A 25782-nucleotide genomic window follows, 5' to 3' on the forward strand; every position below is an offset into this window, starting at 1 on the left:
AAACATGCATTTGTCTCAGGGTGGGCGGAGAGATCATTTCTAGTCTTATCTTTGTCCCACACTTGTGAAGACAAGTTGTTAATTTACATTGTCAGGGAGAAATTCAACAGAACTCTGTTTTAGGGGAAAGATTTTGGAGCCCACAAGAAATTTCCTTATGAGCAATTTGTGAGAGCATCTCCGCTGGGGAGGGATGTGCAGAAATGAAGAGGCTACAACAAGTGTCTGAAGATAGTCCTGAAGGCCAGGTGCAGTGGCTCATGCCTGTAATACCAGAGCTTTGGGAGGCTGAGGCAGGAGGATTGCTTGAGCCTAGCAGTTCGAGACCAGCCTGGGCAACATGGTGAAACCTCGTGTCTACCAAAAATACAGAAAAAAAAAAAAAAAAAAGCAGCTGGGTGTGGTGATGGTGGTGCATGCCTGTAGTCCCAGCTACTTGGGAGGCTGAGGTGGGAGGATCACTTGAGCTGAGAAGGTCAAGGCTGTGCCACTGCACTCCAGCCTGGGCAACACAGTGACAACCCAATCTCAAAAAAAAAAAAAGATACCCTTCCAGCCAGATGAATGCACATGACCACTGGCATGAGAGGAGGTCGGCATTAAGATACAGGTCCTAAGGACCTTGTTGATAAAACAGGTTGTGGTAAAGAAGCTGGCCAAACCCCATGCAAACCAAGATGGCGACGAGACTGACCTCTGGTCTTCCTCACTGTTCATTATACGCTAACTCTAATGCATTCGCTGCTAAAAGACACTTCCATCAGCCTCATGGCAGTTTACAGATGTCATGGCAATGTCAGGAAGTTACCCTATAGGGTCTAAAAAGGGGAGGAACCCTCAGTTCCCAGAACCGCCCACCGGCTTCCCAGAAAACTCACGAATAATCTTTCCCTTGTTTCGCACAGAATCAAGAAATAACCATAAAAATCACCAACTGGCAGCCCTCGGTGCTGCTCTGCCAATGGAGTGGCCACTCTTTATTCCTTTACTTTCTTAATCAACTTGCTTTCACTTTACTCTATGGACTCACCCCAAATTCTTTCTTGCACAAGATCCAAGAACCCTCTCTTGGGGTCAGGATCAAGACCCCTTTCCAGTAAACAACGCCTCATGTTTTCTATAATAATTTCATTACTTTGTGTGCCCACTGACAATGGTAATGGTCTAACCCGGGGTTGGTCAACTGCAGCCCTCTAGCAAAATCCAGCCCCTTGCCTATTTTTGTGCACCTTGTAAACCAAAAAACTATTTCCACATCTTTTAAACAGTGGGTTAAAAAAAATCAAAAGAAGGATAACACAGTTGACTGTTGGACAACATACATCTGAACTGAGCAGATTCACCCATTTGGACTTTCACCCGAGATGACTCCTCCTCCCTCTTCGTCCCCCCTCCTCCCCCCCTCCCTTCTCCTCCTCCCCTCCCCCTCCTCTCCCTACTCCTGCAGAGTGCAGTGACTCACGCCTATAATCCCAGCAGTTTGGGAGGCCGAGGCGGGTAGATCACGAGGTCAGGAGTTGAAGACCAGCCTGGCCAATATGGTGAAACCCCGTCTCTACTAAAAATACAAAAATTAGCCAGGTGTGGTGGCGTGTGCCTGTAATCCCAGTTACTTGGGAGGCTGAGGCAGAAGAAGTGCTTGAACCCAGGAGACGGAGGTTGCAGTGAGCCGAGATCGTGCCACTGCACTCCAGCCTCGGTGACAGAGTGAGACTCCATCTCAAAAAAAAAAAAAAAAAAGAGAACGAAGACCTTTATGATGATCTACTTCCATTTAGTAAGTAGTAAAATATTTTCTCTTCTCTTCCTTAGCATTTTTTTTCTAGCTGACTTTATAATATACATAACATACAAACTATGTACTAATCGACTCTATGTTATGAATAAAGCTTCCGGTCAAGAGTACACTACCAGTATTTAACTTTTGGGGGAGTCAGAACCTATACATAGATTTTCAACTGCATAGAGGTCAGTACCCCTAACCCCCGTGTTGTTCAAGGGTCAGCTGTATATACATATTTTTTCGAGGTGGAGTTTCCCTCTTGTTGCCCAGGCTGGAGTGCGATGGCGTGATCTCAGCTCACTGCAATCTCCACCTCCCGAATTCAAGCGATTCTCCTGCCTCAGCGTCATGAGTAGCTGGGATTACAGGCACGCACCACCATTCCCAGCTAATTTTTTGTATTTTTAGTAGAGACGGGTTTCACCATGTTGGTCAGGCTGGTCTTGAACTCCCGACCTCAGGTGATCCACCCGCCTCGGCCTCCCAAAGTGCTGGGATGACAGTTGTGAGCCACTGTGCCCGGCCGGGTCAACTGTATTTTGTGCCACGTGATAAATATATACATTTACATCTCAGTGTCCCTCAAGATTCTTAGAACACAGAACTTGCCCATTCATTTACATATTGCGCTGTTGTGGTAGCGATCATATGACCCAAAGAGCTTCACATATTTCCCTATGTGGACTTTTCTTTTCTTTTTTTTTTTTTTGAGATGGGATCTTGCTCTGTCACCCAGGCTGGACTGCAGTGGGGTGATCTCAGCTCACTGCAACCTCCACCTCCCAGGTTCAAGAGATTCTCCTCCCTAATCCTCCTGAGTAGCTGGGATTACAGACACGCACCACTACACCTGGCTAACTTTTTGTATTTTTAGTGGAGGCGGGGTTTCGCCATGTTGGCCAGGTTGGTCTCCAACTCCTGACCTCAAGTGATCTGCCCACCTTGGCTTCCCAAAGTGCTGGGATTGCAGGCATGAGCCACCGTGCCTGGCCCTGCAAGTCTGTTTTGATTGGATTTGTTTGACTTTAAACCCATTCGGAAGAGTTTTCCTAGAATTGCTACACTCGGAGACATGAGGCAATGCTTACTCTGACTTTTGACGTTTTCAAGTGTACAGTTGAAAGTCAACAACATGGGTGAATGTGGCAACCCCTCCTTACACAATCAGAGACAGTCACTGCCAAGCCGCTTCGTGGATTGTCATTAGCTTCCAATGAGAAACAGGTGCACAATCAAGGTCTAAAGATAAAGAGGGTTAAGTGCAAGACAGCAGCCATGACGTGTCGGTCCACGTACAGCCTGTCTGCCTGAGGGCTCAGTGATCCAAAAAGACACTGCAGGTCAGCACTTCAGAGTGTTCGCAACATCCGGGGTTACTTAACCCTGTGGCTTGACAAGCAGCAGAGATTTGCAAACAATGATAGCTTCTGTGCCACTTCAGCCGAACACTGGCTCTGAAAACAGCCTCAGTATCTGACAAGCTCTCATTCCTGGGCTTGTGGCGTGGCTGTCCATTGAGAGAGCCTAAGTATATCTTCATGCCGAGGGGATGGGAGCATTTATATAAATAAATGTTTGCACTGATTACAGCACTGCTGCCAAAGAGCTTGATGGGCGATGATGATCCGATTTCGCCATGGCAGCTTATGTTTACAGAACCCGGCTCCATTGCAGACAGGACATCGAATGTGTAACGCAGTATTTAAATGTCCACTGACATTTACAGCTCGTGTCAGCCCAAGAGGGAAGAGGCGTTGGTGTCCCAGTCTGCCAAGGAGGGCTCCTGCTATGGAATGAATGGTGTCACCCCGAATCTCATGTGTGGAAACCCTAATGCCAAAGGGGATGGTATTTGGAGACGGAGCCTTTGGGAGATGATGATGTTTACATCAGGTCGTGAAGGTGGGATCCTTATGTTGGGATTCGTGCCCTTGTAAGAAGAGACACCAGGGCACACATGCTCCCTCGTGCTCCACCCCCCTCTCTCTCTGCCCTGCGAGACCATCTGTAAACCAAGAAGAGGAACCTCTCAAGTACCCAACCATGGTGCCACCTGGATGTAAACATTTCTGCCTCCAGTACTATAGAGAAATAAATTTCTGTTATTTATGCCACCCCATCTATGGTCCAGTTAACCCTTAAACAACACAGGTTTGAATTGCACGGGTCCACTTCTACGGGCATTTTCTTCTACCTCTGCCACCCCGGAGCCAGCAAGACCAATCCCTCCTGTCCGCTCTCATCTTAGGCTACTCAAGGTGAAGACGATAAGGATGAAGACCTTCATGACGATCCACTCCCACTTCAGAAATAGTAAATATATTTTCTCTTCTCTATGATTTTTAAAAATTTAGTTTGGTGTCCTTTTTTGTTTTTAATTATCTTTCCATAAGTGATTGGGGTACTGGTGGTATTTGGTTACCTAAGTTCTTTAGTGGTGATCTGTGAGATTTTGGTACACCCATCACCCGAACAGTATATACTGCACCCTATTTGTAGTGTTTATCCCTCACCCCCCTCCCACTCTTCCCCCCCAAGACCCCAAATTCCATTTTATCATTCTTATGCCTTTGTGTCCTCATAGCTTAGCTCCCACGTAACACTGAGAACATACGATGTTGGTTTTTCATCCCTGAGTTACTTCACTTAGAATAAAAGTTCCTTATCAGGCGTGGTGGCTCAAGCCTGTAATCTCCACACTTTGGGACGCCAAGGCGGGTAGGTCACCTAAGGTCAGGAGTTCAAGACCAGCCTGACCAACGTGGTGAAACCCTGTCTCTACTAAAAATACAAAAATTAGCTGGGCGTGGTGGCGTGCACCTTTAGTGCCAGCTACTCGGGAGGCTGAGGCAGGAGAATCACTTGAACGTGGGAGGCGTAGGCTGTACTGAGCAGAGATCACACCACTGAACTCCAGCCTGACTCCAGGGCAACAGAGTGAAACTCCATCTCAAAAAAAAAAAAAAAAGAATGAAAGTTCCTTATGATTTTTGATTCTCAAAGTTCCTTATAAGGCGATTCTCCTGCCTCAGCCTCCTGAGTAGCTGGGATTACAGGCGTGCGCCACCACGCCCGGCTAAAAAAAAACAAACAGCATTTTCTTTTCTCTAGCATACTTTAATAATACAGTATACAATACATAAAACATACAAAATATATGTTAATCGACTTTATGGTATTGATAAGGCTTCTGCTCAACAATAGGATATTCATAAGTTTTGGGTGAGTCAAAAGTTATCTTTGGATTTTCAACTGTGCCAGGGACGTGTGTGACGCCCCTAACTCCCACATTGTTCAAGGGTCAACTCTAGTTTTTTGTTGTTGTTGTTGTTGTTTTTGAGATGGAATCTTGCTCTGTCGCCCAGGCTGGAGTGCAATGGTGTGATCTTGGCTCCCTGCAATCTCCGCCTCCCAGGTTCAAGCGATTCTCCTGCCTCAGCCTCCTGAGTATCTGGGATTACAGGCGCCACACCCAGCTAATTTTTGTATCAAGGTCAACTGTATTTTCTTGCAACAGCCAGAGCTGACTAAGACAGTCTTGAAGCTCAAAGAGGTACAAGAACCTACCCAAAGTTATCCAACCAACAAGCACCTGGAAGGCAGAATAAAGACTCAGGTAGCCAAGCGCCATAGCCACACCATGGTAGAGCTATTCTGCCTTGTAGAGATGCATTGAATCTGTCACAGGGTGAATACATCTCCAAATGCATTTGAAAACTCCTACGGGATGCTACAGAAACACGTGAGGGAAGAGTGGGTGTGGACATACTCTCCATCTGTTACACTCAGAGTACTCCAACTACAGGAGTGAGATGCCTCAAGACAGGCCAAGGCAGAAACAAGCATCACTATGAACCCCAGAATAGATATGTTTTTTGGCCAGACACGGTGGTACACGCCTGTAATCCCAGCACTTTAAGAGGCCCAGGTGAGAAGACTGCTGGAGGCCAGGAGTTTAAGACCAGCCTGAGCAACAGAGGAAGATCCCATCTCTACAAAATATTTAAAATATATACATAGCTGGGAATGATGATGCGTACCTACAGCCCCAGCTACTTTAGACACTGTGGTGGGAAGATCACTCGAGCCCGGGAGGCTGAAGCTGTCGTGAGCCACAGTCACACCACTGCACTCCAGCCTGGGTGACAGAGTGAGATCCGGTCTCGAAAAAATCATCATTATCGTCACAGTAATGAGAGGAATTTTAGGTGATAGGTGGTTACTAATTTCAAAAATAGGGGCTTCCGGTTTCTCCTCTAATGATACAGGGGTTAAGAAGAAATGACTTAAGCAGATAGTAAAAATTAGCTGGGTGTGGTGGTGCACACCTGTCATCCCAGCTACTTGGGAGGCTGAGATGTGAGGATCACCTGAGCCTCGGAAGTTGAAGTTGCAGTGAGCCATGATCACACCACTGCACTCCAGCCTGGGTAACAGATGGAGACCCTGTCTGGAAAAAAAAAAAAAAAAAGATTTTGCACAAAGTTTTACGATGACTCTGCTTTGTAATTAAAAGTAATTTCTGCTTTGTTGGTGATTTCTCACACATTTATCTGGTAGACCAGATACCTGCATGTGATAGGGTAAGAAGGACCCATTTCCCTCCAAGGAGAACAGCATTGCAAGGGGGTTGAGGACGCATGCATGTGGAATCCAAACATTGAATGCACTGAGACGGCGCTGCATGAAGCCTGTCTGTGAGTTTATGATGAAGCTGCACAGAGCTCCGTAGGCGGCTCTCACTCCTCTCTCTCAGCCTTTGGCTTCAGTTTAATTGCATACACACCCTTCAGAGCTGCTCGGGGCCCCCACTTCTTCAGCCTTCTGGCATTTTTCTAAGAAACACTAAACCTCTTTCCAACGTTGCCCTTGGATTTTGTGTGCACGTCTTCCAGCCCTTGAGCTGCTTGACCTGTGCTTGCAAGGGTTCCATAACACTGGATAGGACAGAAGCTCCGCCCAGCCCCAGGTGAAAGCTCTGTGCTCTTCAGGGACCATGTCCTATTCACACTGTCTCCCTCACATCTAATACAGTCATGATACTCGGCAATATAGTACTCCACCCAACAGGCAACTCAGAGTCTGCCAGTGATACAGGAGTTAAGAAGAAATCACTTAGGCAGACAGTAAGGGTATGGGAGTCCTCGGCAAGGCTTTTTTCTTTTCTTTTTTTTTTTTTTTTTGAGATGGAGTCCCGCTCTGTCGCCCAGGCTGGAGTGTAGTGGCGTGATGTTCGCTCATTGCAACCTCCGCCTCCCGGGTTCAAGCAATTCGCCTGCCTCAGCCTCCTAAGTAGCTGGCATTATAGGTACGCACCACCAAGCCCGGCTAATTTTTGTTTTGTTTTTTTTTTTTTTAGTAGAGACGCGGTTTCACTGGTCAGGCTCGTCTCGAACCCCTGACCTAATGATCCACCCGCCTCAGCCTCCAAAAGTGCTGGGATGACAGGTGTGAGCCACTGCGCCCGGCAGCTTTTCTCTTTAACGAAAAGCAGCCCCAAGTCATTTTCTAACAATGAACAGCCTGTCAAGTCGAGCTGCAGACATACACAAGCCAGCTGGGAGCTTGTACGGGTGAATGTCGGGAGGACCTAGGGACTAGACACGTTCAAGATGGCGGCTCCATCTTCCCGGGAGGAACTAACGACTAGACACGTTCAAGATGGCGGCTCCATCTTCCGGGCAGGAACTAGGGACTAGACACGTTCAAGATGGCGGCTCCATCTTCCCGGCAGGAACTAGGGACTAGACACGTTCAAGATGGCGGTTCCATCTTCCCGGCAGGAACTAGGGACTAGACACATTCAAAACGGCGGCTCCATCTTCCCAGCAGGAACTAGAGACTAGACACGTTCAAGACAGTGGCTCCATCTTCCCTCCTCTTTGTCAGCCACATGTAAAGTAAGAAAAACAGGACCGAGAGCCCCGACCAACTACAAAGCCCATTTGCATAACCGATTAGGGTGGGCAACCAGCCTTTCCTGTGGGCTATGTAAATGTCATGCTTGATGGAACCAATCTCTCGGAGAGCCCCGACCAACTACAAAGCCCATTTGCATAAACGATTAGGGTGGGCAACCAGCCTTTCCTGTGGGCTATGTAAATGCCATGCTTGATGGAACCAATCTCTGAGCTCTATGTAAATGAGACACCGCCTCCTCAAACTGGACTATAAAATCCATCACATTTGGTGCCAGCTGGTCCTTTCCGCTCGGAGACCCCTTTCTCTATAGAGAAAACCATTTCTCTTTCTCTTCTCCTGATTAAACTTCCACTCCTAAACTCCTCGTGTGTGTCTTTGTCCTAAATTTTCCTGATGCCCAATGACGAACCCCAGGGTATATACCCCAGACAACGTAGCCACTTCACTAACATGTAGAGAGCTTGCGCATTTTAATTCCTATCCTCACAATAGGCAAAGAGCAGAACATACTGAAAATCAGCAACTCTGCGATCCATCAGAAAATAGAGATCACAAGACGAAATGCTGCCTGAAGACTGGACAGACAGGTGGCAAGTGGAATTGTGCTTGTCTAGGAGTTCCTGCTGGAGCCAGCACCTGATGGACACATTTGCAGGGTAATTATTAAACAGCTGCAGGCTGACAGTGGACAAGCCTAAGTAAGTTAAAAACTCCTGGCCAGGCATGGTGGCTCGCACCTGTAATCCCAGCACTTTGGGAGGCCAAGGCGGGCAGATCACCTGAGGTCAGGAGTTCGAGACCAGCCTGGCCAACATAGTGAAACCCCGTCTCTACTAAAAATACAAAAATTAGCCGGGCGTGGTGGCAGGCACCTGTAATCCCAGCTACTCGGGAGGCTGAGGCAGGAGAATTGCTTGACCCTGGGAGGTGGAGGTTGTAGTGAGCCCAGATCGCACCACTGCACTCCAGCCTGAGTGACAGAGCGAGACTCTGTCTCAAAAAACAACAACAACAGAAAAACTTCTGGGGGCCCATCTTAGAGGGGACCTTGTACTTTCACAAATTTTACCTCCGGGAGCTCCACCAGGTTCCCAGGGTGAAGATCAAAGAAATATCCAGTTGTGTGTTATTGGGGGAAAGTAACCACTTTGCAATATTCCTAGGGAGACAGTAGCATTTTGAAGTATGCCCAAAGCAATCCGTGTCCTCTCTGCCCTCAAAGGAAATTACTTTAGCGCAGTCAAAGTGAACTGGGGGAAGGGAAATCTTCTATTTCAGTTTTTCTTTTTTTTTTTTTTCTTTCCAGGCAGATTTTCACTCTTGTTGCCCAAGCTGGAGTATAATGGCGCAATCTCGGCTCACTGAAACCTCCACCTCCAGGGTTCAAGCGATTCTCCTGCCTCAGCCTCCTGAGTAGCTGGGATGACAGGTGCCTGCCACCATGCCCGGCTAATTTTTCGTATTTTTAGTAGAGATGGGGTTTCGCCATGTTGGCCAGGCTGGTCTCGCACTCCTGACCTCAGGTGATCCACCCGCCTCAGCCTCCCAAGGTGCTGGGATTACAGGCGTGAGCCACCGTGCCCGACCAGATTTCAGTTTCTATTAGCTTTCAACAACACTTTTCGTGCATGAGTGACGCTGGCGGCCATGTACTCAGCCATTCCATCAAGGTTCCAAGCAGCAAAGCTGCAAAATGGATCTGACTCCTTCAGTGAAGAAGAGTCTCCCTGAATGCATTGGAAACACTCATGAGATGCTACTGAAGCAAGTAAGGGAAGCCTGACTGTGGACATGCTCTCTGTCTCTTAGGCTCACAGTACTCCAACCACAGAAACGAGATGCCTCAAGGGAGGCAGAGGCAGAAAGAAGCCATCACTATAAACCCAAGAATAAAGCCAGCAGAGCTACAGTGATGGCCTGTGTGCTGCAGGTGAGCATCACCTTGTTGTAAGGCCACAGGCTTTCCTGGCCACCCTGCTCAGTTGGCCTCGTGGTGGGAGTCACTAGACTCAAGATAGACCCAGCCAGACCATCTGGTTAGAGCTACCCAAGGAAAAGCCATTGTCAGCACAAAGTCACTGGAGTCTTAGAATGCACAGCTGTGATGGGCTGATTCCTTCTCCCAAATCCCTATGTTAAAGCCCTAACGCCCAGGACCTCAGAATGTCACCATATTTGGAGATAGTCTTTAAAGAGGTGATTAAGGTAAAACAAAGTCACCAGGGAGGCCCCTAATCCGAGAAGACTGGGATGCTTATAAGAAGAGGAGATGAGGCCGGGTGTGGTGGCTCACGCCTGTAATCCCAGTACTTTGGGAGGCTGAGGTGGGTGGATCACGAGGTCAGGTGATCGAGACCATCCTGGCTAACACGGTGAAACTCCATCTCTACTAAAAATAGAAAAAATTAGCTAGGCATGGTGGCACGCACCTGTAGTTCCAGCTACTTGGGAGGCTGAGGCAGGAAAATCGCTTGAACCTGGGAGGTGGAGCTTGCAGTGAGCCGAGATCCCGCCACTGCACTCCAGCCTGGGCGACAGAGCGAGACTCCGTCTCAAAAAAAAAAAGAGGAGGAGATGAGGACACAGACACACAGAGTGACGACCCTGCGAGGACACAGTGAGAAGATGGCATCTACAAGCCTACAAGAGAGGCCTCAGGAGGAACCAGCCCTGCCTACACCTTGATCTTGGACTTACAGCCTCCAGGATTGTGGGAGAATAAACGTCTGTTGTTTACAAGCCACCCAGTCTATGGTATTCTGTGATAGCAGCCTGAAATGGACTAAGACACCTCATAAGAAAAGGAGATGAGGACACAGACACACACATTGGGACAACCCTGTGAGGACACAGGGAGAAGATGGCGTCTCCAAGCCCAGGAGAGAGGCCTCAGGAGGAACCAGCCCTGCCCATACCTGGATCTCAGACTTCCAGCCTCCAGGACTGTGAGAGAATCAATGTCTGTTGTTTATAAGTCACCCAGTCTATGGTATTCTGTGATAGCAGCCTGAGATGGACTAAGACACCTCATAAGAGGAGATGAGGACACAGACACACACAGAGGGGCGACCCTATGAGGACACAGGGAGAAGACGGTGTCTACAAGCCCAGCAGAGAGGCCTCAGGAAGAACCAGCCCTGCCCACACTTTGATCTCACAGACTTCCAGCCTTCAGAACTGTGGGAAAATAAAAGTCTGCTGTTTAAGCGGCCCAGCCTGTAGTATTTTGTCATGGCAGCCCTAGGTGACTAATACAACAGGTGTTTCATCCTGTTCCTTTCCTCAGGTGGTGTTGCAGAGTACCCCAGCATCTTTAGGTGGTGGTAGAAGAGACTCCAGCATCTGCCATAACCCCCGGAAGAGTGTTCTGTATGTTACACTGTGGGGAGGTTTTCCTCAAAGCATTAGAGTGATCTGAACAATGGGAATCTTTGCACAGAGGAGGATGAGTTCTACTCGGGGATGGTACCTACTAAGAGAGACATGTTGTCTTCTCTTCAATTGCCCTTTAATGAAGAAATAAAAATTATTTAATTATTCGGTGAAGAAATAAAAAGAGTATTGCATTCTTTCAACAGAGATTCTGCACTTGTACTCCCAGGTATTTATGAAACCTCATGTTGATGCCTGGTGCATAGGCCAGGCAGTGGGGCTCTACCTAAGTAATGCCTGGTGGTTGGCCATGGGTAGCTGGAGCACCAATAGCATACTCTAATAGTCCATGACATCGGTCTACTCAAGGGCCATGGCTCAAATAGAAGGCTTTGTTTGGAGGAATTCAAAAGAGGTTCTACTGAGAAGGAACCTATGAATCAGTGCTGCTACAATACTTTTGGATTGTGCGGTTCAAACGCCATATTGGTTTTCTTCCAGCTCTCCAGCTCCAGCAGCACTGAGGCAGATCTGAGTTTCTCGAAGCTGGGCCCATCACCAACAAGACAGTGATGGTGAAAGCAATGATAGAAGAGGTCGAATTTAGAGTAAGGATCAGGATGGACAGGTGGGTACATCTATGCAACCCTAACCTTTCTGAAACTACTAGGCATAGATATTTTCCTGAAGACTAGTCTCAGCCTGCATGGATGGTCCCTCATGGCTACTGTCTCATTTGAAAAGTGAACCTATGAAAAGAGGAAAACACTATGACATCCACCACTGTTTGGTCACACCAATTCTTGACATTAACTCTCTCGAAGGACATTAGTATGACCTTCAAATCCTAGCCCGCAGGAAAGCTTCACTTTAGTTGTTTGTTTCCTGGGTGTCCCTTCCTACAACCCACGAAGCAAATGCCACACACCCTCCTTACATGCATAAAACAGTGCTGATAATGGATGAAACACACAAGTATCAGCTCATGCCTGCACTTTCAGAGAAAACACTCTTGCTTAGACCATGGGTATGTCAAGCTGCCAAGGATACAAAAGGTAAAACAATCCAAGGGCAACAGATGGTTCATGACAAAGAACTAAGAGGGCAGCACTGCGATTCCAAAAATTTGGATATGGACGTCAATGAGAGTGAATGAGAGAGAAGCAGAGAGACGGCGGGGGGGGGGGGGGGGGGGGGAGGGAGGGAGAGAGAGAGAGAGAGAGAGACAGAGAGAAAGGAAGGAGGAGGAGGAGAAAGGAAGGAGGAGGAGGTGAAAGAGGAGGAGGAGAAGCAGGAGGAGGGGGAAGAGGAGGTGAAGGAGAAGGGAAAAAAAAAGTAGAAGGGGCCAGGTGCGGTGTCTCATGCCTGTAATCCTAGCACTTTGGGAGGCTGAGGCAGGTGGATCACGAGGTCAGGAGACTGAGATCATCCTGGCCAACATGGTGAAACCCCATCTCTACTAAAAATACAAAAATTAGCTGGGCAGGGTGGTGCATGCCTGTAATCCCAGCTACTCAGGAGGCTGAGGCAGAAGAATCGCTTGAACCGGGGAGGCAGAGGTTGCAGTGAGCTGAGATCGCGCCACGGCACTCCAGCCTGGCAACAGAGTGAGACTCCGTGAAAGAAAAAAAAAAAGAAAAGAAAAGGGAAGGGAAGGGAGGGGAGGGGAGGGAAGGGGAGGGGAAGAGAGGGGAAGGGAAGGAAAGGGAGAAGGAGAAGGAGGAGGAGAGAAAGGGAAGGAGAAGAAACGAAAGAAGATGAAGGAGAAGAAGGAGAAGGAGGAGGAGAAGTAGGAGGAGATGAGGGGCAGGAGAAGGAGGGGAAGGAAGAAGTAGGAGGGGAAGAGGAGGGAAGAGAAGAGGAAAGAAGACAGGGAGAGAGAATAAGAGAATGAGAAAGAGAGAATGAAGGAGAGAATAAATGAAAGAAGAGAGAGATGAGAAAACCTACTTGTGAAAGAGGCCTCAGTAGAAGAAAAGAGAATGAGCAAAGAGCCTGGTCCAGGCCACTCTAAATGTCTCTCAAATGTTAAAGACTGATGAAGGAGGAGCAGGAAGACTTATCACACGTCCAAGGAGACAATGTTGAGCGACCCGCAAACTTAGCAGAAGGGAGAACAGGCTCTGGAGATGTCCAGTAATGGGGTAGAGCCCAGACTCCCACACTTGGTAGTTGTACCCTTCAACCTGGAGAGGCCTCAGTTTTCTCATCAGTGAAATGGGCCCAAGAATAGTATCTATCTCAAGAAACCATTTTCTCTGCTCCTTCATGAGAAGAAACTCCTCTTCCATTCCAGTTTTATCATGAGATTACAGGAGTTCAGCCCCATCTTCAACCTGCACCTTTACTTCTGCTATTTTCACCATAGCAGAAGTGACTTCCTCCACTGAAGTCTTGAACCCCCTCAATGTCATTCATGAATATTGGAATTCACTTTTTCCCGATTTCTGTTAATGTGGATATCTTAACTTCCTGCCATGAATCACCAAGGTTCTAAATGGCATTCAGAATGAGGAATCCTTTCAGGAAGGTTTTTTGGTTTTTTTTTTTTTTTTTTTTTTTTTTTTGAGACGGAGTTTTGCTCTTGTTGCCCAGGCTGGAGTGCCATAGCGCGATCTTGGCTCACTGCAACCTCCACCTCCCAGGTTCAAGCGATTCTCCTGCCTCAGCCTGCCGAGTAGCTGGGATTACAGGTGCCCGCCACCATGCCCAGCTAATTTTTTTGTAGTTTTAGTAGAGATGGGGTTTCACCATGTTGGTCAGACTGGTCTCAAACTCCTGACCTCAGGTGATCCACCTGCCTTGGCCTCTCAAAGTGCTGGGATTACAGGCGTGAGCCACCACGCCCGGCCCTGACTCGAATTTTGAAAAAAGTTCTACTCTGGGTAAAACCCTATCAAACAGCATCGCTTGATACAGAAAAATCTTTCATGACAGAAAGGGTCAACTGATGTGACAAACATCACTGTTGTCTATTTTAAGAAATTGCCAAAGCACCCTCTACCCTCAGCAACCACCACCCTGATCAGTCCACAGCCAGCAACATTGAGGCAAGACTCTCCACCAGCAATAAGGTTTTGACTCGCGAAATGTTCAGATAATTGTTAGTATTGTTTACCAATAAAGTATGCTTAAATTAAAAAATATATATCGTTGGAATGGTGTATGGATACACCACAAAACAGTCTTAGCATAATGCTCACCATTCACTAAGTGCTCAATAACGACATTATTAACTTTGCCAATTCCTCTGTTTATTGCTCAGAAGGATGATGCATTTGTCAGGAGAAGCAAAGAAAAAGATTCTTGAAAAGATCATGGTGACATTGCTGAAAGGTCGGGGAGAAAACACAAACAGACTGAATGGGTCCTGTGAAGCTCAAGGGTGTGGGTAGCTCGTAAGAAAGGCTATGAGCAGAGATTACGCTGGAGAAATATGCCAGGAAGGGAAGGGAAGGGATGGTCAGAAGCTAGTTAGTGTGTGCAGTGATATTTTCACAATGCTTTTGAAATCAGCGTGTTAATTGGCTAAATGAGCCACTGGCTGGATGACAGTATGTGAGCATTAGCTGCTCTATGTCAGCTGGGATTCTAGGAAAACAGATTGTGCCAAACATTTGGATATCCAGAGGAGGCACAACAACTGTGCATTAGAAATAGGACTTATGTTTCCCACCCAACTACCTCTCTCTGGGGCCTGACCTGCCGTCTAAAAACAGTCCACCCCAATGCAGCCTCCAGTCACTCTGCCAGGTATTGACCCAGAGTCTTGATTCTATGCAACAAATAAGATCTTTGCATTTTAACCCATTGAGTTTTAGTAAGAATCTTCGACAAGAAGATTTCTTCCAGAGAACCAAAGCAGGAGTTGCAAGATTGCAAAGGGCACACTGAGGTCTTAAATATCCATCTGATTTGGCCAGGAATGTGATCGATCAAAAACTCAGGAATTTTCCTGGTCATCGTTGTCTAACGTGTATTCAGAATGTACTCTGCGGTGAGTACCATTTTACGAAAAGACTCACTGGCCAAGACTATGGGCGTGAGGTAACTAACAATCAGGGGGCTTGGTTTCATTTTGTTGAAAAAAAGTTCAACAAAGACATCCACAAAGAAATAGGTGATGGGCCTTTGCCTACTCATTTCTTTGCTCGTTTTGCTATTTACCCATTCCCCTGTTTTCTTGCCCTGTAAAATGGACACAATACTCAAGCTTCCCATTGGTGTCAATGTTTACATTCACGATGGGTAAAAAAAGGTATTTCATGATTTGAAAAGTGTGATGCATTTTATTCTTTTTTATAACTTTAACACCTTTTAATTTTTTGAACGTTTTTGAGTCATCATAACACATAGCTTAAAACACATACACACGTGGTGCAGCTGTACAAACATGTATTTTTTTAAACTTGTATGTTAGATTCGGGAGGAGTCCATGTGCAGGTTTGTTGCACAGGCAAATTACGTGACATGGGAGTTTGGTGTACAGATTATTTTGTCACCCACATAATCAGCACAATATCTGATATGCAGTAGAGACAGAGTGCCACTCTGCCGCCCAGGCTTGAGTGCAATGGTGCGATCCCGGCTCACTGCAACCTCCGCCTCATGGGTTCAAGTGATTCTTGTGCCTCAGCCTCCCGAGTAGCTGGGATTACAGATGCCTGCTACTCTGCCTGGCTAATTTTTGTATTTTTAGTAGAGACAGGGTTTCACCATCTTGGCCAGGCTGGTCTCGAACTCCTGACCTCGTGATCTGCCCACCTCGGCCTCCCAAAGTGCTGGGATTACAGGTGTGAGCCACTGCGCCCGGCCAATAGGCAGCTTTTTAATCCTCCCTCTCCTCCCACCCTTCACCCTCAAGCAGACCCCAATGTCTGTTGTTCCTTTCTTTGAGGCCACCTTTACTCAATGTTGAACTTCCAATTATAAGTGAGAACATGCGATATTTGCTTTTATGTTCTTGTATTAGTTTGCTAAGGACAATGATCTCCAGCTCCATCCATGTTCCTGCAAAAAATAATAAGATCTTGTTCTTTTTTACAGCTGCACAGTATTCCACGACGTACATGTACCACATTTTCTTTACCCAGTCTACCACTGATGGGTATCTAGCTTAATTCCCATGTCTTTGCTATTGCAAATAATGCTGCAATGAACATTCATGTGCAAAAGTGTCTTTACGGTAGAATAATTGGTATTTCTTTAGGTATGTACCCAGGAATGGTTGCTGGGTTGAATGGTAATTCTGTTGTTTTAACTCAAAAGTATGCTTTTTTTTTTTGAGACACAGTCTTACTCTGTCACCCAGGCTGGAGTGCAATGGCATGATCTTGGCTCACTGCAACCTCCACCTCCTAGGTTCAAGTGATTCTCCCTGCCTTAGCCTCCCAAGTAGCTGGAATTCTAGGCACCTGCCACCATGCCTGGCTAATATTGGTATTTTTAGTAGAGACGGAGTTTCACCATGTTCGCTAGACTGGTCTCGAACTCCTGACCTCAGGTGATTCGCGTGCCCTGGCTGGGATTACAGGCGTGAGTCACCGGACCCAGCCGCCTATTTTCTTTCTTTAAGAGATAAGGTCTTGGTCTCTCAGCCAGGCTGGAGTGCAGTGATTTGAGCACATCTCACTGCAGCCTCAAACTCCTGGGCTCAAGTGATCCTCCCGCCTCAACCTCCCCAGTAGCTGGGACCACATGTACACACCACCATGCCCAGCTATTTTTGAAAAATTTTTGTAGAAATGGCATCTTGCTGTGTTGCCCAAGCTGCTCTCAAAGTCCTGAGCTCAAAATAATCCTCCATCTTCTGAAAGCATTGCGATTATGGGTGTGAAGTTTCTTTGACTTTAATATTTTAACTTAATTTATAACAGTATTTTTGAATAAGGGACTCTATCCATCACTATTTAATTCTATAATTGTATATATTTGCAGGCCCCTCCAAGCCTTTGTGAACCCTGAATATCTGAGATGGTGTCAGTTAATTTAGAAAGTTAAGTCCGGGCGTGGTGGCTCACGCCTGTAATCCCAGCACTTTGGGAGGTCGAGGCGGGCGGATTGTCTGAGGTCAGGAGCTCAAGACAAGTCTGGCCAACATGGTGAAACTCCGTCTCTACTAAAAATGCAAAAAAAACTTTAGCTGGACATGGTGGCGGGCACCTGTAATCCCAGCTATTGAGGAGGCTGAGGCAGGGGAATCGCTGGAACCAGGGAGGTGGAGGTTGCAGTGAGCCGAGATCGTACCACTGCACTCCAGCCTGGACAACAGAGTAGGACTCCATCTCAAAAAAAAAAAAAAAGAAAAATTTATTTTGCCACAGTTGAGGACGCACCCATGACACAGCCTCAGGTGGTCCTGACGACATGTTCCCAAGGTGGTCAGGGCACACGCTGGTTTTATACATTTTAGGCAGACATGAGACATCAATCAATATATGTTGAGAGGTACACTGGTTCCATCCAGAAACACGGGGACGACTCGAAGTGGGGAGGGGGCTTCCAGGTCATAGGTGGATAAGAGACAAATGGTTGCATTCATTATTTTTTTGGGGTGTGTGTGTGTGTGTGTTTAGACAGAGTATTGCTCTGGCACCAGGCTGGAGTGCAGTGGCGCGACCTCGGCTCACTGCAACCTCAGCCTCCCAGGTTCAAGCCATTCTCCTGCCTCAGCCTCCCGAGTAGCCGGGACTACAGGTGCCCGCCACCATGCCCAGCTAGTTTTTAAAATATTTTTAGTAGAGATGGGGCTTCATCATATAGGCCAGGATGGTCTTGATCTCTTTACCTCGTGTTCTGCCTGCCCTGGCCTCCCAAAGTGCTGGGATTACAGGCGTGAGCCACCGCACCTGGCCAGGAGTAACTTTGAATAAAACGGGAGGCAAGTTTGCTCTGAGAAGTTCCCAGCTTGACTTTTCCCTTGAGCTTAGTGATTTGGGGACCCCAAGATTTTCCTTTCAAACCTTCTTAAATTATTGTTACTGTCACTATGCTTCCATCTTTCATGAACTTAGGCGACATCCATGGAGGTATCATTTGCAGATTCAAAGTAGCTCTTTCAACTTCTGAGTCATGGAGCACAGTGTCTTTAATATCATGCTTTTGTTTTTGTTTTTGTTTTTTTGTTGTCGTTGAGACAGAGTCTTGCTCTGGTACCAGGGAGTGCAGTGGCGTGATCTCGGCTCACTGCAACCTCCGCCTCTCAATTTCAAGCCATTCTCCTGCCTCAGCCTCCCAAGTAGCTGGGACTACAGGCGCCCGCCACCATGCCCAGCTAGTTTTTTTGTACTTTTAGTAGAGACGGGGTTTCACCCTGTTGCCCAGGATGGTCTCGATCTACTGACCTCATGATCCGCCTGCCTCACCCTCCCAGAATGCTGGGATTACAGGCGTGAGCCACCACGCCAGACTGCAGTAGTGAGTCTTAGTCACTCACTGTGAAGTTCCCTGCAGTTTCTTTTTCAAAAGCATTTTGCTGTGGATAACGCATTCTCATTACGTCAGACATCTGCAGTAACATTTATCTAGCAACAAGGTTAACTGCCTTCACATCAACAAAAACAGGTTGTGTTGCCAGCAAAGAAGAATGCCAGTTCTCTTTTCCATCCCATAATACTTGTCATCAGTACTGGGGTATCCTGTTCACCTTCTCCCATGCTGTGAGATTAATTTAGAGAACATATTCACGGTATTTTGTTTTTTGTTTTGTTTTTTTTTTTTGAGACGGAGTTTTGCTGTTGTTGCCCAGGCTGGAGTGCAAAGGCATGATCTTGGCTCACTGCAACCTCTGCCTCCCAGGTTCAAGTGAGCCTCCAGAGGAAGCACAGTACTGCCCACATCGTTATTTCAGACTTCTGGTCTCCAGGACTGGAAAAGAATAAACTTGTTGTGGCTTTAAGACTTCCAAGTGTGTGGTCGTTTATTACAGCAGCCCTAAGATAGATAGATAGATATAGATAGATAGATTTATTTTACTTTAAGTTGCAAGATACATATGCAGAACATGCAGGTTTGTTACATAGGTATACATGTGCCATGCTGGTTTCCTGCACCCATCAACCCGTCATCTAGGTTTTAAGCCCTGCTTGCATTAGAAATGGGGTTTCGCCATGTTGGCCAGGCTGGTCTTGAACTCCTGACATCATGATCCACCCACCTCGGCCTCCCAAAGTGCTGGGATTACAGGCGTGAGCCACCGCGGCTGACCTTTATTGCTCTTTCTATGTAAAACCAGAAAAGCCAACAAAGCTATTTCCCGTAATGACATGCCCAAGTCCTAACCCCCAAACACCGTGAATGTGAACTGATTTGCGAATAGGGTCTTGGTAGATGCATTCTCGTTAAGGATATCAGGACAGGATCATCCCAGGTTCAGGACTGATGGACACTTCAAACTTTCATTCTATATTCTTTCACACGAGTAGTGTTGTTTGGCTCTGAGAAGCACTTTCATTTTTATTTCCAGGCAATTTCATATCGTTCTCTTCAATTCAGTGAGTGCAAAAGAAGCAAGACAGGGAGTGATATAAAATTACTGCTAATAGAAAATTCACTTTTAATCTTGCTTAAAACAAGTTTTTTTGTTTTTTGTTTTTTTGTAAAATGAAGGAGAGAGCTGAACTTCAAGGATGCGAATTTATTTCCACACAGGGGAGAAACACTGATTGGAGAAAATTTACAGTTGCTGTTTAGACACTTGAGCCTCAGGATCGAGAAAAGGTGCACCTCTTAGATGGGCCTTAAATTGGAGATGATGATATCTAACCACCTGGAGACGGGAAAGTAGGTGTCACTCAATGCTGAACGGTGCTACTCATCTGTGAGATTGTATAATGAAGTTTTGGAGACTGAGCCTGTACCTTCATCTGTTCTTTAACCAATGCACACTTAACAAGCACGTCATGTTTAGCTGCTCAGCAGAGCTTCCTTCTTCAGAAACAGAGACGGGGTGCGGAGGCATTTTACAACCCAGGGGGCTCCAGCTTCATAGACTGTCTTGTGAGGATCTATGCTGTTACTCTGAGGATCAGCGTTGGTTTTCCAAGTCCTTCATGAACATAACAAGTCAATGATAAGACGACAAGTTCCACCGCTGTGCCTCAGCTGAGACAAAAAAAAAAAAAAAGCTGGAATCATTTAGAAATAACAATCCCAGGCCAGGCATGGTGGCTCATGCCTGTAATCCCAACATTTTGGGAGGCCGAGGCCAGCAGATCACCCGAGGTCAGGAGTTCAAGACCAGCCTGGTCAACATGGTGAAACCCCGTCTCTACTAAAAATGCAAAAATTAGCCAGGCATGGTGGTGCGCGCCTGTAATCCCAGCTACTTGGGAGGCTGAGGCAGGAGAATCGCTTGAACCTGGGAGATGAAGGTTGCGGCGAGCCGAGACAGTGCCATTGCACTCCAGCCTGTGCAACAGAGCGAGACTCTGTTTCAAAAAAATAAAATAAAAATAGAAAAAGGAAGTCACACTCACAACCATTCTACAAGCAGGAGACCCAGAATATTTTGCTTTAGAATCTACAGGCTCTGCTTTAAAATTCCTCCTCTCCCAAACTCAGGTTAAAATGTAAGCCTCAGTGCTGGATGGGAGGTCGAATGGGAGGGGTTTGAGCAACGGACGATGGATTCTTCCTGAAGAGATCAATGTCCTTTCTTGAAGCATGAGTGAGTTTTTACTCTATGAGTTCTCCACAGGCTGGTTGTTAAATAGAGCCTGGCGTCTCCCGTCTGTCTTCCCTCCTGTCTCTTCGTGTGGTCTCTGTACACATACCAGCTCCCCTTCCCGTTCCACCATGAGTGGAAGCCTCCTGAGGTCCTCAGCAGAGACAGATGCTGGCCCTGTGCTTCTTGTACAGCCTGCAGAATCATAACCCAAATAAACCTCTTTCCTCTATAAATTATCCAGCCTCCAGTGTTCCTTTCTAGTGACACAAAACCGACGAAGACACCCCAGCTCTCTCTACCATGGGGTATTTATGTCACTAGTGATGACCGTCCTGACAAGGGGCCAGCCCTGCAGTTCCCACGAGACCACCTACTTCCCACTCCCCATATGAGCTCAGAAACTTCCGGAAGCTGGTACACTCATGGAATGATAATCCATATAATTTCCGCAACGAGATGTGATGTAGTATCATGCTTACTTAAGTGATCCTGAATATACTCTTTTTGTGTGTTTTTCTTTAATTTTCCATAACTTATTGGGTTACAGGCAGTATCTGGTTATATAAGTAAGTTCTTTTTATTTTTTTCTGAGACAGAGTCTCGCTCTGTCAGCCAGGCTGGAGCGCAGTGGCATGATCTCGGCTCACTGCAACCTCCACCTCCCACGCTCAAGCAATTCTCCTACCTCAGCCTCCCAAGCAGCTGGGATTACAGGTGTGTGCCACCAGGCCTGGCTAATTCCTTTTGTATTTTTAGTATAGACAGGGTTTCACCATGTTGGCCAGGCTGGTCTTGAACTCCTGACTTAAGGTAATCCGCTCGCCTCAGCCTCCCAAACTGTTGGGATTACAGGTGTGAGCCACCACATCCGATCACGAGTAAGTTCTTTAGTGGTGATTTGTGAGATTTTGGTGCACCCATTACCCAAGCAGTACACATTCCACACTATTTGTAGTCTTTTATCCCTCGCTGCCCCCTCCCAAGCTCTCCCCAAGTCCCCAAAGTCCATTGTATCATTCTCATGCCTTTGTGTCCTCATAGCTTAGCTTCCACGTATCAGTGACAACAGACGATGTTTGGTTTTCCATTCCTGAGTTACTTCACTTAGAGTAATAGTCTCCAAAGGACATGAACTTGTCCTTTTTTATGGCTGCATAGTATTCCATGGTGTCTATGTGCCACATTTTCTTTATACATTCTATCATTGATGGGCATTTGGGTTGGTTCCAAGTCTTTGCTATGTGAATAGTGCCACAATAAACATACGTGTGCATGTGTCTTTATAGTAGAATGATTTATAATCCTTTGGGTATATACTCAGTCATGTGATTACTGGGTCAAATGGTATTTCTGGTTCTAGATCCTTGAGGAATCCCCACACTGTCTTCCACAATGGTTGAACTAATTTACACTCCCACCAACAGTGTAAAACCATTCCTATTTCTCCACATCCTCTCTAGCATCTGTTGTTTCCTGACTTTTAATAAAGCTGGAAACCATTCTTCTCAGCAAACTAACACAAGAACAGAAAACCAAACACCACATGTTCTCACTCATAAGTGGGAGCTGAACAATAAGAACACATGGACACGGGGAGGGGAACATCACACACTGGGGCCTGTCGAGGGGTGGGGGGCTAGGGGAGTGATAGTATTAGGACAAGTATCTAATGTAGATGACGGGTTGAGGGGTGCAGCAAACCACCATGGCACATGTATACCTATGTAACAAAAACTGCACGTCCTGCACATGTACCCCAGAACTTAAAGTATAATAATAAAAAAAGTAATAGTCTCCAGTCTCATCCAGGTCACTGCAAATGCTGTTAATTCATTCTTTTTTGTGGCTGTGTAGTATTCCATGGTGTGTGTGTGCGTCTGTCTGTGTGTGTGTGTGTATATATATATATGATGTCCATCAATATATACAATGTCCAATGTTCTGGAGTCCACAGTCAGTAATGTCCATCAAGGTACATACACACGTTCACGGACATTATTGCCTGTGGACATCAGAATCTTGACCCACACCTAGGAAATGACTGCATTCAACGTCAGGCGACTGGACTCCCCGCCAGACACCCGCCATTGAGAACAAATAATAAAAGCCACAGTCTTCACCTTGCAAATTGATATTTGGACTTTTGTCATTCAAGGATGCTTTCAATGGTTCGTGTCTACTAGGCTTGGGAGAAAGATAGGCTCGTGAGAGGAGACATCAGACAACTGGCAAATCAGAGGTAGATGAAGCAACAAAAGGAAGGAAAAAGAGTGTGGAAATACCAGCCAACGAGCTGGTGTTCCCAATGGGACCTATGAAAAGATGTTTTGCAGGTGGAGAGAAGAAAGAGGAGACGCAAGCATTTGAGCTGAGCAACGAATATTGCCTGCATTGCGGAGGACCAAGAATGGACAATATCACCAGGTTAGCCTCCTGGGAAATGCTGCACGGGTGGCAGGTTCAGCAAATCAAGGCAGGGGGAGAAAATGGCTGCCGCTCTCTCTCCAGTTTGCGATCCTGGGAAGTTAGGGTGCACGGGTTTACTGGGCTTTGATTTCCTCAGAGGACTGGTTTTACTTACACACAGCAGGAAGCCATAATACAAGGGGCTCTTTTCCCACCACAGGCATCAAGCTGAATCACCGCACACGCTTGCATTCCAGACTCATGTTCTCCAGAGCTTACAGGTTGGGATGGGACCACTGTAACCCATGACCCCAAACTAGGGAGCTTACAAAAGCAGCCATTTAACCTCTCCCAGTCCTGGAGACTACATCTGTGAAATCGAGGTGCCTACAGGGACATGCTCCCTGCTCTAGGGAAGAATTCTTCCTGCCTCTCCCAGCTCCTGGGGGCTCCAGGCATCCCTGGGCTTATGGCCGCATCACTCCAGTCTCTGCCTCCGTCTCCACGTGGCCTTCTCCTCTGTGTCTGTGTCTCCTCTTCCGTCTCTTACAAGGACACCTGTCATTAGATTTAGGATCCACTGCAATCCAGGATGATCTCATCTCCAGATCCTTTTTTACATCTGCAAAGACCTTATTTCCAAATAAAAAATCACATGTACAGATTCAAGGTGAACTTGTCTTTTTTTTTTTTTTGGTGGGGGTGGGGGTAAAATAGAGGCACCATTCAATCCACTACAGGGGTTGAGAAGAAATAAAATATTACAAAATGCTCCCTGATAAGAAATAAAATATTACAAAATGCTTCCTGAATGTGATTTAGAAGTTTTTTTGTTTGTTTTGTTTTGTTTTTAAATGGAGTTTCACTCTTACTGCCCAGGCTGGAGCGCAATGGCGTGATGTCAGCTCACCGCAACCTCTACCTCCTGGGTTCAAGTAACTCTCCTGCCTTAGCCTCCCAAGTATCTGGGACTACAGATGCCCGCTACCACTCCCGGCTAATTTTTTGTATTTTTAGTAGACATGGGGTTTCACCATGTTGGCCAGGCTGGTTTCAAACCCCTGACCTCAGGTGATCTGTCCGCCTCGGCCTCCCAATGTGCTGGGATTACAGGCGTGAGCCACCTCGCCCGGCCGATTTAGAAGCTTTTGTTTGTGGGCGTGAAGGTTCAGTAAGAGCTTCCTCTAGTCCTTGTCAAGATCAAAATTAAAGGCATTATAAACAGAGATGCCTATCTGTCGGCCACATATCCAGAAAATAAATGCTGAGATGAGAATTCTGGTTTCTGAATAGGAGTCTGATATCTGCATTTGGTGTTGCCAAAGCAAGCCCTGACTTCTCTCTTCTCTCATTGAGACAGAGCACACACCCTCACTCCTTGTGTCTCTGAGTCACATGTATCGGGCCATACTCACCTGATACCTCACGGATTGTCCCGGGGCTAGTTCTATTTCTAGCTCCTGGGCAGGACGGTGACCATGAGTTCGACGGTGCCCAGCAAGCCCATCTGGCCAGCACTTATCTGCCTTTGGGTACAGCCTGCCCTTTCTCCCAAGTGTCTGAGCATAAAAATAGCCCACCATGTCAACCCCGCAGATGACAAGCATGTGAGTGGCTAGTTTCTGCCTGAGAACTCTCCCGAGGTCTCCCTGAACACTCACGGATGCCTGGGCTGGCCCAAGATGCAGCAGTAGGTCACTGACAGACTCTCTTCCATTTATTCACAGTTTCCATGATTCCCACGCTCATAGCATCGACATAACAAAAGCAAAGTTAAGCTACAGACTCTGCTCCCGCCCCAACCTCTCTAATAGCTGCTAACAGAGCCAATGGATTGTTTTTTTCAACTTGCAACTTAAACACAACTTTGCCTTCTCCCTGAGTCTTTTAATTCAAACATTCAGTCATTCTCCATCAGGTACGCACAGGAGATACAAAATCAATATGATAACGGTCTTCAGGTTGTGGGTGACAGAGCGGGAGCATGGCCATCTTGAACAAACACCACCATTCTAGGCTCCCCTTGATTAAAAACCGCCTAAATCCAGCCCGAAAACATCAGCCTCATGACTCATGTCAGCATAACCAGAAACATTCCAACCCTAAGATAAACCCGTCTCCGACCAAAAACATACCAACCCTGAGACAGCCTCCCCTCTGACCAGAGATATTCAACCCTGCAATAAACTCTCCCTCACATACAAACATTCTGAACCTATGATAAGCACCCCCTTCCAAAACCCTTAAATGTGCTTAGTCTATAAGAGAGAAGAGCTCTGACCTAACTCAGCCAGAAGCCCCTCTCAGGTTTCTCTAAAATAAACCTGTGTTTAACTGTCAAGTGACATTTCATGCTTCTTTCCTCTTTAATTCTTACAGTGAGTGTGTAGAGCACGCTTGACATAAGTGACTCCACCTTAGAAAAAGATTCCATGTTACATTTCATTCAAAAGGCATCATGCCTACAGGAGCCAGATGTTCACCTGATCAATAAAGACCACATCCAAACAGTTAAGGACACAACCAAACACCCTCTTCCATTGTCAATCCTCACCAGAGGACTCTGTGGTCATGAAAGAACAGGGCTTCAGCAGCTCCAAATGGCTACCTTAACAGATGCCATCTTGCTGTC

General features: G+C 46.7%; 1 protein-coding gene and 1 long non-coding RNA gene across 2 annotated transcripts in view; one reads left to right on the forward strand and one right to left on the reverse strand.

Moving 5' to 3' along the window:
* Positions 1–25782, reverse strand: part of DHRSX (dehydrogenase/reductase X-linked) — a 281471-nt gene that overhangs the window by 98315 nt on the left and 157374 nt on the right. The window lies entirely within an intron of this gene.
* On the forward strand, positions 2819–19851 carry LOC124905239 (uncharacterized). The gene is made up of 3 exons (XR_007068482.1): positions 2819–4096; positions 11579–11705; positions 19685–19851. It is a non-coding gene; the product is annotated as an uncharacterized LOC124905239 (long non-coding RNA).

Source organism: Homo sapiens, chromosome Y (assembly GCF_000001405.40).
Source record: "Homo sapiens chromosome Y, GRCh38.p14 Primary Assembly".
NCBI lineage: Eukaryota > Metazoa > Chordata > Mammalia > Primates > Hominidae > Homo > Homo sapiens.